At 52.4% G+C, this 14,524-nt stretch overlaps 1 protein-coding gene and 1 pseudogene across 4 annotated transcripts in view; one reads left to right on the plus strand and one right to left on the minus strand.

Annotated features, from left to right (window-relative positions):
* TRAP1 (TNF receptor associated protein 1) overlaps window positions 1-14,524 on the minus strand; it is a 59,488-nt gene that overhangs the window by 14,456 nt on the left and 30,508 nt on the right. For all 3 annotated transcript variants that reach the window (NM_001272049.2, NM_016292.3, XM_011522345.3), the window contains 7 exons: window positions 13,504-13,644; window positions 7,227-7,298; window positions 5,006-5,166; window positions 3,544-3,653; window positions 2,832-2,905; window positions 1,847-2,002; window positions 208-328 (listed from right to left, as the gene is read on the minus strand). In NM_001272049.2, coding sequence (NP_001258978.1) covers window positions 208-328; window positions 1,847-2,002; window positions 2,832-2,905; window positions 3,544-3,653; window positions 5,006-5,166; window positions 7,227-7,298; window positions 13,504-13,644 — 835 coding nt within the window. The remainder of the gene's footprint in view (window positions 1-207; window positions 329-1,846; window positions 2,003-2,831; window positions 2,906-3,543; window positions 3,654-5,005; window positions 5,167-7,226; window positions 7,299-13,503; window positions 13,645-14,524) is intronic.
* LOC124903630 (uncharacterized) lies at window positions 2,002-9,144 on the plus strand (annotated as a pseudogene). The gene has a single exon (XR_007064950.1). The product of XR_007064950.1 is annotated as an uncharacterized LOC124903630, transcript variant X1 (transcript).

Raw genomic sequence — 14,524 nt, forward strand, 5'->3', positions numbered from 1 at the left:
CAGTGCTCCCCCCAGATCAGTCATGTGCGTAGGGAGGTGGGGCAGCTCCCGGGGTCTGTAAACGCGACTGACACACAGGCAGCGCAGGCCGACGGCGGTGCTCTCGCTGCAGAGGGCTGCTGAGAATGGAATCAGCACGGTCCCTCACAGATGCAGCGGGCGACACTGGGCCACGGGGGCACTGCTCACGGACTCTGAGCAGCGTACCTCGGATGAAGCGCAGCCACTTGGGCAGGATGTCCGTGGCCTTGGTCTGGATGAGGACTTTGCGGCTGTACAGTGCAACGCTGGAGCCCAGCTCCCGGCTCACATCAAACATGGACGGTTTCTGGGGGTGAGGAGAACACGCCATCATGCAGCACTGACCCTCCCCAGGCAGGCCCTGGCTGGGAGGTGGGGGCGGACACGATGAATCCAGAGCCCACTCCCGCCTCGCCCTCCCCCAGCGTCTGCTCTGAGTTGAAGCCCAGTGCAGGGGCCCCACGATGCCCCACACTGTGGCTCTGCAGGGGCTGAAGGCCTTCTCTGGCAGCTGCCGCCCTCCCCAGCCCACCCCCTAAGGAGGACACAAGAGAGTGAACCTTGCACGTACCCCTGAACACACTGAACACAGCCAAACCTTGCTACAGGTCAGGGATCAGCAAAGAGCCCTCCGACCAGATCCAGCTCACTGCCTACCTCTGTGTAGCCTAAGAGTGGTTTTTACACTTTCAAACAGTTGAGGAAAGATTTCAAAAAGGATGATCTCATGAGACGTGAAGATGAAACTCAAATTTCAGTGTCTACGCAGCTCATGGGACCCGGCCCTGTGTGCTCAGAGGGCAGCAGGGCAGTGCTGCTTCCTCACCCGGCAGGGTTAGTGGCTACGAAAGACACCGGGCCCGAAACGCTGGGACCAGCTCCTGTCTGGCCCTCGTGGAACGTGCCTGCCAACACCTGCTCCACACTGGTACTTCCCGAACCGGGACCCACACCTCATCACGGGATCTGGTTAAAATGCGGCGGGTATCTAGTTCAAATGTTGGGAGACCTGGTTAAAATGTGGGGCGACCTGGTTAAAATGGGGGGGATCCGGTTAAAATGCGGGGAGATCTTATTAAAATGTGGGCTCCCACGCAGGAGCCCTGGGTGGGGCCTGAGACTCTAACAAGCCCCTGGAGGCCACACCTGGCTGGCTCTTTCCAAGATGGATGCCAGCTGTGCAGGACATTAGGAGAGTTTCCAGGCAGCCAAGGACAGAAGAGCCTGGGGGCAGGACGGGCTGGCTCTCAGCCCCGAATAGGTCTCCTTACGGCAGGATTTGCGGGAACTTCAATGTGGTAAAGGAAACCAGGGGAGGTGGAGGGTGTGGAGGAAGCACACAGAGAGGCCAACGGAGAGGCAAGACCACAGGCCCTTCCCAGAGCGCCTGGCAGGACAGCATCCACTGATCCACAGCAGATGATGTAGGCTCTGAGGGCCCTCCCCAGGCACACCCCAGTCCACAAGCCTCCACCCCAGCCTGCACTGAGATGCCCATCAATCCTTCCCTCGCCATGTGTGACCCCTGAGACAGAGGAAACCTCTGTGGTTACCCACCCAGAGGCATCTGTTCTTTTTTTCTTTTTTTTCAGAGATGGGGTCTCACTATGTTGGCCAGCCTGGTCTGCAACTCCTGGGCTCAGGTGATCCACCCTCCTCAGCCTCCCAAAGTGCTGGGATAACAGGCGTGAGCCACCACACCCAGCACTACCTATGTTTTTCATGCCCTCACACTGCCATGTTAATCATGTGACATCTGCAGAGCTGATGCCACAGGGGACAACAGAGTCACCCTGAGGGCCGTGGGACTGCCACAGTGCCTCACCATGTCGGGCACGTAGAAGATGCTGCGGATGTTGAGCGGTGCGTCCGTCTTATAGTGCAGGGTGTAGCGGGGCTTGTCGTGAGCCTGCGCGACGTAGCGGTAGAACTCCTCATGTTGCCACTCACGGACATCCTTGGGGTCCATCATCCAGATGGCCTGGAAACGGAGATCGGCGGGGAGGGCGTCGTGTTCACCACGCACGTCTTCTCCACCACCGTGCAGGCCTGAGCCAGTGCAGCGCCTGGCCCTGGACAGGCTCCTGGGACAGACGGGCGGTGGTCTCAGGCGTAGACCCCTCTCCAGCCCCACCGCTGGGCTATGCCGGGTAGTGCAGGGGAGACACACAAGGCTCTGGGGCAGGAGCTCCTCAGGACAACATGTCAGGAGGACCAGCCGGGACCTGAGGGGGCCTGTGGGAGAGGATGACGCTGCCCAGCAGGGGCGAGCTGACGAATACAGTGTGGGCCGTGAGAGCGATGACGACCCACGCTGCACCGCAGCTGAGCCGCGAGGGGGAAGTCAGTCACTGAGGACAGCATGCCGTGTGACTCCATCCAGGAGAAACGTCTGGAACAGGCAGCACAATGGACAGAAAGGAGACCGTGGCTGCTGGGACTGGGGGAGGGGCAGTGGGGAAAGGGCTGCTTTTTGGGGTGATGGGATGTTCTGGAATTGATGCGGGGTGGCTGCACAGCTCTGTGGCTGCACTGAACACCATGGCTGCACACTGATGTGGTGAGCCAGCTGGGATGGGCGTTACGCCTCAGTGAACCCTGACCCCTGACCCCGGCTGCCCGGTGCACAGGGGCAGGGCTGTGGTAGAGCTGGGCCCCTGTCTCATCCCCACACCCAGGTCTCATCTCCACAGAGCAGCTCGCCCTGTGACTCTGGGCCGCATCCCCTGGGCTCATCTCTTCTCCGCTGCCCTGAAACGTACAGATTTGTCTCCATGTTTGACCAGTCCCTAGAGGAACTCAGGGCTCACCTGCAAGGTGTTCATCCGCCTTCCATTCAAGTACAAGGGGAAGCTGACGAAGTTGCTGTACTTCGTTACCACATCTGGAAGGGACAAAAGAAAAACCACACTGCATCTACAATGCTTGTGGAAACGCAAGCTTTGCAGCAGCTCCAGGATGAGCGCCAGCCTGCTGGGAAGGGTCCTCCATGCTGTGTACACTTCACAGGTACAGAAACAGGGCACAGTGGGGACACCTGTCCTCCCCCCAGTCTCACGGGGGCAGCAGCGGAGCCCACGTGAGAACCAGAGCTGTGGAGGCCCCGGCTGCTGCGAGACTGCAATGTCAGCTTGTGGCTGGAACATGGCTTTCTGGGCTGACTCCTGGGGGTACTCAGGGCCTCCCTGAGTGTCCAGCAGGACACAAAGAGGGAAGGCCACGCCCACATCCTGGGACAGGACTGCGCCAAACCCCCAGGTGCACTAAAGGCCAAGGGCCACGCAGAGGAAGGAGGAGGAGGTCCGCCTCAGCCAGGCCAGCTTCCTCCCAGTCCCAGCAGGAGCTCGATGCTACGCAGCCCTGGCGGGCAGCCCCCCTCCCAGTCCCGCAGCGGCTCGGCCCTTCACGGCTCTGCCTGTGCACCCTACGTGCAGGTAGAACCAGGGAAAATGCCTGCTGACCTGGTGGCCTCCAGGCCACACATGGATCCCAGAGTGAGCCTGGGCCCGGGCTCCCGCTCACCTCGCACCCGGGCCTCGCTGGAAAACTCCTTGCAGTCGGATTTCAGGTGGATGATGATTTTTGTCCCGGTTCTAACTCCCGAAGCTTCGGCGATTTCAAACACTCCAGAACTAAGGCAGGCAAAGAAAGGAAAAGCCAGGTGGATGTGACACTGGGACATACCCTGCATGGGACTCCAGCGGTTCCCGAGGGTTTCATAGGCAGAGCCCAAACAACACACAACACACCTCAAATGCCCCATTTCTGACCCCAGCGCACCACTCAGGCCATCACATGCCCATCAGGAACGATGAGCCTGTCGCAGGCGGCAGAGTTCTCCTGGTTCCCTCGGGCGGGGGGCGGGGGGGCGGGGGTCCTCCACCGACCCTGGGCTTCGAAGAAGCTTCTGGGCTTACCCCAAAAGCAGGCCTGGGGCACTGTGGGGGACTGGCCCAGCTCCAAATCGGGTGCCAGATGCCCAGGGGCAAAAACAAAGGCCAGGGGGACAGGCGCCCCCTAAGAAGAGCAGAAAACCATCTCCGAAGCACAGGAGGGGGGAATCCCCCGGCAGGGCCATGTTGATGCCTTGGCCTAAGTTTACTCTGAGCCCCGCTCCCATGGAATTAAACAGGAATGTTAGTTTTGGGAGAGTGGGGAGTCAAGCTGAGCACAGTGCACACACTGTGGAGCAGAAATGGCATCACGGAGGGAGGACGCCTCGGCTGGCTGGAAGCGGCTCACCTGCTAAAAAGCCCTCGGAGCCAGGCGTGGTGGCTCACGTCTATAATCCCAGCACTTTGGGAGGCCAAGACGGGCAGATCACCTGAGGTCGGGGTTCGAGACCAGTCTGACCAACATGGAGAAACCCTGTCTCTACTAAAAATACAAAATTAGCTGGGCGTGGTGGCATGCGCCTGTAGTCCCAGCTACTCAGGAGGCTGAGGCAGGCCAATTGCTTGAACCTGGGAGGCGGAGGTGGCAGTGAGCCAAGATTGTGCCATTGCACTCCAGCCTAGGCAACAAGAGTAAAACTCCGTCCCAAAGGAAAAAAAAAAAAAAAAAGCCCCCAGCAGGCTCCTCACCCTATAGAGGCAGAAGTGGGCTGGGGAGACAAAGCCAGGAAATGCCAGGGCTGGGAGGAAGCAGAATGAGCTCTTGCAGAAGGTCGGTCACAGGAGGCTGCATAGTGTCCACCAGGCGACAGGCCAGTCCTGCAGCTCAGCCACTGAGAAAGGAGCTCAGCGCGGGCCGGACCTGCCTTCCCGAGCGCAGTGGTGGTGACCAACCACATGGGACCAGACAGGTGCCATAGGCCACCTGGAGCCACAAAAGTCACTAACTCCCCAAAATGGGAGAGTCAGATTTCATATAAAAAGCCCAGAAAATGCCTGTGTACGTTTTCTGAGTCCATCCCTTTCCAAACTCCATGCTAAGGGCTCCAGCTCAGCTTTGAGCTGCCTGTCAGGCGACATTCGTCACTCACCCATCTGAAAGCCACTGGTAACCCAGGCTCCCCGGGGCTGCCGAGCGGGAATAGACCTCCACTCTGTCAGCCACCATGAAAGCTGAGTAGAAACCCACTCCAAACTGGCCGATGATCTTGCTGCTGGCCTCAGCCTGGTTCTGCAGAGCATCCAGGAAGGCCTGTGGGGCAGAGGCCAGTTAGTGAGGCAGCCTCCCCTCCAGAGAGCAGACACTCCCAACACCGTGGCTCTTCTGCGAGCACCGCTAAGACCCCTTCATCCTGAAAACAGCCACACCGAGTACTTTTCCACCCCATTCTACACGTGAAGAGCTAAGTCACAGAGAGGTGACACATTAGCCCTAGGACAACCAGCTGGCAGCAGTGGGACAAGTGTGTTTTCCATTTGATTCCCAAAGCTCACAGTCCTGCCTGTCCCAGACAGGTGGAGGCCTGTGGGTCACACCTGGGGGTGGGGAAAGAGCAGCTTGAATAAGCTCTTTCCCTTGAATAAGCTCCTTCCATAGGAAGGCCAGGAGTGAGGAGAGGCTCCAAACTGGCTTCCATATTCAAGTCTCCTGGACTCTACACTTTGTGGGAAAAAGAGTAGAAATCACGCGCATGCGTCTGTAAGCACCGCACAGCACTTCATTTTTCTACTATAATACTGCCAAAGGTCCTAAGGCCAAAGTCAAGTAAAATACACACGCCCACTGCCCTGGCCCACGTTGTCCGATGGAACTTTCTCCAACAACAGGAACGTTCTGCCAGGTGCAATGCGACAGCCTGCCGAGCACCTGCAATGTGGCCTGTGCAGCTGAGGAGCACAATGTCCCCTTTTATTTAATTTGAATGCATTTACATTTAAACTGCCACATGCAGCTGGTGGCCGCTACACAGGACAGCAGACCAACCTCGAGAGAAATACAACAAAAGACGTAACGTGGGGGTCAAGTCACAGTTAGGGTGGGTTTTTTGTTTGTTGTTGTTGTTGTTGTTGTTTTTGAGATGGAGTGTCGCTCTGTCGCGCAGGCTGGAGCGCGGTGGCGTGATCTCAGCTCACTGCAACCTCTGCCTCCCGGGTTCAAGTGATTCTCCCGCCTCAGCCTCCCGAGTAGCTGGGATGACAGGTACCACCACCACGCCCAGCTAATTTTTGTATTTTTAGTAGAGACGGGGTTTCACCGTGTTAGCCAGGATGGTCTCCATCTCCTGACCTCGTGATCCACCTGCCTCGGCCTCCCAAAGTACTGGGGTTACAGGCGTGAGCCACCGCACCCGACCTAGTGTTTTCATCTTACAGATGAGGAGACTGAAGTAAGTGCTTTGCCCAGAGCTGGAAAAGGGCGACCGCTGGAGGTTCCCAGGCTGTTGGTCTGAGTCCAAATGTGTTGCTCTGCCTCACAGCACTTTTCTGCAAAGTCGATTCCCTGAGCCTTGTGGGCTTGACGCAGAGAGGGTCAGAGGGATCAGTCCCCTCTCACACAGCGCCGTGATGAGAACGGGCTTGGGATGCGGCGTCTGTGGGTTTGATGGTTCTGGTCAGAACTGCTCTGTGGGTCTGGGCATAGTGACGTGCACCTGTAGTCACGCCTCAGGAGGCTGAGGCTGGAGGATAGCCCGGCCAACATGGTGAAACCCCGTCTCTACTAAAGATACAAAAAATTGGCCAGGCGTGGTGGCTCGTGCCTGTAATCCCAGCTACTTGGGAGGCTGAGGCAGGAGAGTTGCTTGAACCGGGAGGCAGAGGTTGCAGTGAGCCAATACAGTTGGTCCTCCTATCTACGGGTTCCACATTTGCAGATTCAACCAGCCAAGGATCGAAAATACTCAGAAAAAAAATAAAAAACAACACAATGATAAAAAGTAGTATAAAAAACATAACTATGTTATATCTATATCTAGCATTTACATTCTATCAGGTATTATAACTAACCTAGAGACCATCTAAAGCATACAAGAAGATGTGTCTACAATATACGGCACCAATTTAATCCGGGACTGGAGCATCTGCAGACTTTGCTATCCAAGGGGGGTCCTGAAACCAACCCCTAGATACTGAGGGACCAACCCCCAGATACTGAGGGATGGCTGTCATGTCATGAGGTGTTCCCACAGTACCCACTGCGTGGCATGCAACTGACAACGTTCTTACTTAATCTGGCACCCAGGGCCACCCCTACTGGAGGGATCCTTGCACCCTGAGGGGAAGGGGGAGGCTGTGTGGGGGCCCCACGCTTACCTTTGACCCCGATCTGGCAATCGTCCCCAGGTTGGACACCAGCTCTTCCTGTGTCATCCCGATACCAGTATCCTGAGGAGAGAGACGCACTAAGTGCCAAGCCCCCAGCACCTGGGGAGCCGGGTGAGTGCACCAGCAGTCCCAGGGACTCAAGTGGTGTCAATGACATTGGCCAGACAGGGCCCAGCCAGGTAGCACCAGATGCTCATCAGAAAAGACTAATTCTAGGGGCCGGGAGTGATGGTTCATGCCTGTAATCCCAGCACTATGGGAGGCCAAGGCAGGCGGATCACTTGAGGCCAGGAGTTCAAGACCAGCCTGGCCAACATGGTAAAACCCCATCTCTACTAAAAAAGAAATTAGCCAGGCATGATGGCGAGCACCTGTGGTTCCAGCTACTCGGAGGCTGAGGCAGGAAAATTGCTTGAGCCCAGTGAACCCAGGAGGCAGAGACTGCAGTGAACTGAGATTGCGCCACTGCACTCCAGCCTGGGTGACAGAGTGAGACTCCATCTCAAAAAAAAAAAAAGAAAAAACGAAAAGACTAATTCTAGTCATAGCAGCTTGGCCTCACCAGAGAAAACAGGAAGGGACAGCAGAAAGTTGCTTTGTTTGTTAAAAACCATTCCGAAAAGAAAATATTACACCAGCAATTAGGAAAAGCACAGCTCTCCCACCATCAAGATGTGGCCCCCACGCCTTCTCCCTGGCTGTGGTTCTGGGGAACAGTGATCCCCTCTGGTGGCTCTCTCAATCCAGCAGAATGATCTGACTGAGGACACCAGGAAGCAGGTGTTGGGAACGCAGCTCTGCACGCGGCACCTACTCCCACCCTACCACCATGGGAACAGCGGGCACAGACGCCTCTCCTGCGGGAAGGCAGAGCCCTTGCGTTGGAGCCTCTATCTGGCCTATCCTGTTGCAGCTGCTCTGCTCTGAGTGCCAGTGTCACCCAAATCCATATATTAAGACCTAAGTCCCAAGGGGATGGCACTGGGAGGGGGGCCTTGGGGAGGTGATCAAGTCACGACGGCTCCACTCTCATGAATGGGAGTAGGGCCCTTAGAAAACAGGCTTGAGGGAGCTTGCCTGCCCCTTCCACCTTCTGTATGAAGATGCAAGAGGCACTGCCTGAGTCAAAGGGCCCTCGCCAGATGCCCAATCTGCTGGCCCCTTGCTCTTGGACCTCCCAGCCTCTAGAACTGTAAGCAATAGGGTTCTGTTGTTTATAAATTGCCCAGTCTAAGGTATTCGGCTATAGCAGCCTGAATCACAATACAGACCAACGCGCTGGTGAACACACAAGGCCTTACTGACCATGGGCTCCTCCTTCCTCAAAGCCCAGTCAGACTCCCATCTGCAGATCCTCGCTCAACATGCCCATAATGTAGCCACAGCCCCAGCTTGCTCTGCTATGATGTGCAGACCACCTTAAATAAAAGAGCTCACTCCAAGCCTCCACATCTATGAATTGGGACAAAGGCCCTCAGAAACAGTTTTCTGAACTTCCTTCTAGGAAGTTCCTTTCTAAAGACTTCCTCTCCAGGACAGCCTGCAGGAGCCATGGGAGCCCACTAGCACCAGGCGCCAGTGCTGTCTCCATTGGCAAAGCAAGGGTGGTCAGTGCCACTCAGCAAATAATCCACAGCAAGCAGCAGGCCAGGGAGACTGGCCAGCTGTCAGCCTTCCCATTGTAGGCAGCACAGGCAGAATGGGTGCCAAAACCACATCACCACCAGTTACTGCAGTGCACACATGTGTGCATGTTTCACGGGCCCCAGCAGCCAACAAGAAACATGGCACCAAGAGGCTTCTGGGCAATTATTTCTGAGGTGCCGGTTTGAATAGTCCAAAATCCAGCCTGATTCATTTATTGTAGATCATGTAATAATTATGAATAAAAAACTACTTAAAATTAGTATCTAGTTGATATCAGTCATTAAATATAAGTTTCATTTAAGTGTTTAATACATCAGAAACTTAAATAGAGTCCTTAAGGGAAAGGTTAATGTTAGACCAAGGTAAAGGAAAAAATGCAACTAATAGCTCCTATTTTCAATTTATTTTTATTTTTTCCCAAACTGATCTGCACTGCAATCCCAGTCTAAATCCTCACAGGTTTTGTAGAAAATGACAAGCCGATTCTAAAATGTATATGGAAATACAAAGAACTTAGAAAATTTTCAAAATATTTTGAAGAACGAAGTTGGAGAATTTAAAATACCTAATTTTAAGACTTCCTATAAAGCTACAATAATTAAGACAGTGCGATGTGGGCATTTAAGGATCGACACATGGATGAAAGAACCAAACAGAGCACAGGAACAGAGATGCACAGAGAGTGTATTACTTGATTTTTGACAAAGATTCCAAGGTAATTCAATGGGGGATGATAGGTCTATTAACAGATAGTACTGAAACAACTGTACACCCATAAACAAAACATAAACCTCAAGCCCTACCTCACACCATACACAAAAATTAACTTGAAATGGATCATAGATCTAAATATAAGAGCTAAAGCTATAAAACCTCTAGAAGAAAACATAGGGCTGGACACAACAGCTCACATCTGTAATCCCAGCACTTTGGAAGGTCAAGGTGGGAAAATTGCTTGAGCCCAGGAGTTTGACACCAGCCTGGGCCACAAAGCAAGACCCTGCCTCTACAAAAAAAAAAAAAAAAAAATTTCTCGCTCTGTCACGCAGGCTAGAGTGCTGGAGTGCAGTGGTGTGATCTCCGCTCACTGCACCTTCCGCCTCCCGAGTTCAAGCAATTCTCCTGCCTCAGCCTCCCGAGTAGCTGGGACTACCGGCACACGCTGCCACACCCAGCTAATTTCTTTTGTATTTTCAGCAGAGACAGGGTTTCACCACGTTGCCCAGGCTGGTCTTGAACTCCTGAGCTCAGACAATCTGCCCGCCACGGCCTCCCAAAGTGCTAGGATTACAGGCGTGAGCCACCATGCCTGGCAAAAAAAATAATTTTTTTAAAGTTAGCCAGGCATGGTGGCATGTGCCTGTGGCCCTAGCTACAGGGGGCTGATGTGGTAGATCACTTGAGCCCAGGAGGTCAAGGCTGCAGCGAACCCTGATAGCACCAATGCACCCCAACCTGGAGACGGAAGAAGATCCTGACTCTAAACAAACATAAAAACCTTCCAGGTCAGGCTGGGTGCGGTAGCTCATGCCTATAATCCCAGCACTTTGGGAGGCCGAGGCAGGCAGATCACACGAGGCCGGGAGTTTAAGATCAGCCTGACCGACATGGAGAAACTCTGTCTCTATTAAAAATACAAAATTAGCCAGGCATGGTGGCACATACCTGTAATCCCAGCTACTCGAGAGACTGAAGGCAAGAGAATTGCTTGAACCCGGGAGGCGGAGGTTGCAGTGAGCTGAAATCACACCACTGCACTCCAGCGTGGGCAACAAGAGCAAAACCCCATTTCAAAAAAAAAAATCTTCCCGGTCATCAAAAACAAGGAAAGTCTGAGAAACTGTCACAGCCAAGAGGAGCTAAGGGGCCAGGACAACTAAATGTCATGTGGGATGCTGGGAGAGAAAAAGGACATGAGGTAAAAACTAAGGAAACCTGAATAGACTTGTGTTAAGAATAATATATCCATACCGGTTGATTAACTGTAACCAATGTAATATACTAACATTTCTTTTTTTTTTTTTTTGAGACGAGTTTCACTCTTGTTGCCCAAGCTAGAGTGCAATGGCGCGATCTCAGCTCACCACAACCTCCGCCTCCCGGGTTCAAGCAATTCTCCTGCCTCAGCCTCCTGAGCAGCTGGGATTACAGGTGCACACCACCACATCTGGCTAATTTTTGTATTTTTATTAGAGATGGGGTTTCACCGTGCTGGCCAGGCTGGTCTTGAACTCCTGACCTCAGGTGATCCGCCCACCTTGGCCTCTCAAAGTGCTGGGATTACAAGCGTGAGCCACTGCACCCGGCCATAAGGTTTCAATCATAAGGGAAGCTGGGTGTTGGAGTAGATGGCAACGCTGTACTATCTTTAAAATTTTTCTGAAAATTGAAATCTGTTCTAAAATATTTACTAAAAAAAAAAAAAAACTATAGATTTTTCAGATGTAGACAGAAATCATCTGTTGCCAGGCGACCCGCACAATGTGATTTTAAAAGGAAATGGTGAGACTAGGCGCGGTGGCTCCCGCCTGTAATCCCAGCACTTTGGGAGGCCAAGGCAGTCAGATCACTTGAGGTCAGGAGTTTGAGACCAGCCTGACCAACATGGTGAAACCCCATCTCTACTAAAAATACAAAAATTAGCCGGGTGTGGTGGCATGTGCCTGTAAACCCAGCTACTTGGGGGGCTGAGGCAGGAGAATCACTTAAATCCGGGGGGCAGAGGCCTCACTGCAGTGAGGTGAGATCATACCACTGCACTCCAGCCTAGGCAATAAAATGAGACTCTGTCTCAAACAAAAATAAAAAGGAATTTGTGAGGGTTTACAACAGGTATATACATAAAATATTTGACATCAAAAGAAAAAGATGATTTTGCCACCGGAATGATACTGTTGTAAGATTCTTACAATGAAGTGTTAAATATCAATTCAAGCTAGACAGTGATAAATTAAGGCTGCATATTTTATTCCCTAGAAAATCCCCTAAAAATAACAAAAAGCAATGTAGCTGAGATATCAGTAGATGAGATGGAATGGCATAATACCTCTGAGACCCCACAAGAAAGCTTCCTTTTCTAAAACTTTAGGTAAGAATAATCTATCAATATTAGTTAATTAATTGTAATAAATGGGCTGGGTATGGTGGCTCATGCCTGTAATCTAACACTTGGGAGGCCAAGGCGGGCAGATCACTTGAGGGCAGGAGTTCAAGCCCAGCCTGGCCAACGTGGTGAAACCCCATCTCTACTAAAAATACAAAAATTAGTTGGGCATCATGGCACACATCCGTAATCCCAGCTACTCAGGAAGCTGAGGCACGAGAGTTGCTTGGACCTGGGAGGCGGAGGCTGCAGTGAGCTGAGATCACACTACTGCACTCCAGCCTGGGCGACACAGCCACACTCTGTCTCCAAAAAAAAGGAAAAAAGATGAAACAAATGGACCATGACGCTCCCATCGGCTATTGAGAATAGAAAAACTGGGTCCCAAAGGATATAATGGAGCTCTAAATTACCTGCTCAAATTTTCTGTAAATCTAGAACTGTTCTTTAAGAAAAAAGAAGACAAAAGACAAAACCAAAAATCATTATTGTAACATAAATGGTCTTAGTACCAGGAAGTACTGGCACATGAGGACTGGCCCCTCTGCTAAAGACCAAGAATCATGTCCCCATGACCCCTTGCCCCAGCACATCCATTTTCAATCATCTGCAAGGAACCTCTGTGCTGAAAACAGGAGGAAAGCACAGGGCGCTGCAGCCCTGCCCACAGGGCCCATTCCACAGCCAGGCCAGCTCAGCAAAGGCAGGGAGAGAAGAAACCCACTCCCCACCCAATCCTTATGACCAAGGGCTATGACAAACAGCTGGCACGTACCACGGGGCTCAGTCTGGATTCTCTAAACCCAAGAGGGAGTGCGTAAAGCTGACACCTCACAAAAGCCCCTCCTTTAATTAAAACAGCCATCCCTTCACAAGTCCATTCATTCACGCGTGCCTGCATTCATTTATGTGGCATGACCTTCAGAGCAAGCCAGCACCCTAAAAGGGAATACTCAGATCCCACCGAGGCCAGTCTGTCCACCTCTCCACAGAGACAGACACCCCCGCAATGACGCCGTGACCCTGGGATGACAGGTCCTGAGGCAGCTGTCTTTGGATGCAATGTCTCTCAGGGCCCCTACCTGATCCTCTTTGGCCTAACTTTTCAGCCTTAAAATTTCCACAAGGCTACAGCAGCAGCCACAGCACTGCTTCGTCGGCATTTTGAGGGGAAAACGCAGTTAAAAATATGAAAAGAGTACATTAAAAATAAGATATGTTTAGATATGTTAATACCTGCATATACCAAAACCCTGTGTGGCCATATGCTAAGATGTTACCAGTAGTTATTGCTGGATGATGGGGTGATTTCAAATTTTCTTCTTTTCTGCTTACCTGCTTTTCCAAAATTTTCTATAATGAATGAGTGCTACTGTAACACTAAATTATAGCCAGAGTTATCCTGGTGGTACGGACGGCCAGTACGTCCCTGGGACCCGAGACATCACTAGAAGGCGGATCCTGTCCTTGCTGCATGGCCGGGCCTGCCACACGCCTGGACACTGAGGGAGGTACCTGGATGGTGATGGTGCCTTTCTCGGCATTGGTCTGCAAGTGAATCTCCATTTCTGGCAGTGCTTGGCCGTCAGACACCAGTTTGTGACGCAGTTTTTCCAAGGCATCGCTGGCATTGGAGATCAGCTCCCGTATAAACACCTACAGGAATAGAAATGGGAGGCACAGACAATGAAGGACACTCATCCTGCAGGATCTATCTGGTCAGCTGCACTTCCAATAACTGTTAAAAGGTAGAGGAGAATAGTCAATTCTCAAAGCATAAAGAGTTTCTGCTTTAGTCAAAGGCAGTTCCTCTGGGCCGGTCACAAAGTGACTGAAGGTGCTGACTTTCCTTTCAGGATTTCTTTGAGAGTCTCACTCTGTCACTCAGGCTGGAGGCTGCAATCACGGCTTATTGCAGCTTTAACCTCCTGGACCCAAGCAATCCTCCCACCTCAGCCTCCTAAGTAGCTGGGCCCACAGGCATGCACCACACCCAGCTAATTGTTTTAAAATTTTTATAGACACAGGGTCTCGCTATGTTGCCCAGGCTGGTCTTGATCTCCCAGGCTCAAGTGATCGTTGTGCCTCCGCCTCCCAAAGTGTTGGGATTACAGACGTGAGCCACGGTGCCTGGCCCTTTTCAGGATTTTTAATCAAGCCTGAAGTTACGTGTCCATCTGTTAATTATAACTTTAAGAAGAGCCCTCTGGCTGGGGTTGGGGGCTCATGCTTGTAATCCAGGCACTTTGGGAGGCTGAAGCAGGTGGATCACTTGAGGTCAGGAGCTCAAGACCAGCATGGCCAACATGGCAAAACCCAGTCTCTACTAAAAATATTAAAATTAGCTGGGCGTGATGGAACACACCTGTAATCCCAGCTACTCAGGAGGCTGAGGCAGGAGAATCGCTTCAACCCACAAGGCGGAGGTTGCAGTGAGCCGAGATGGCACCACTGCACTCCAGCCCCGACAGAGAGAGACTCTGTCTCAAAAAAACAAACAAAAGAGGCCTGCGAGGAACAATTTCTTTCCCAACTC

The sequence above is a fragment of the Homo sapiens genome, chromosome 16, assembly GCF_000001405.40.
Source record: "Homo sapiens chromosome 16, GRCh38.p14 Primary Assembly".
Classification (NCBI taxonomy): Eukaryota; Metazoa; Chordata; class Mammalia; order Primates; family Hominidae; genus Homo; species Homo sapiens.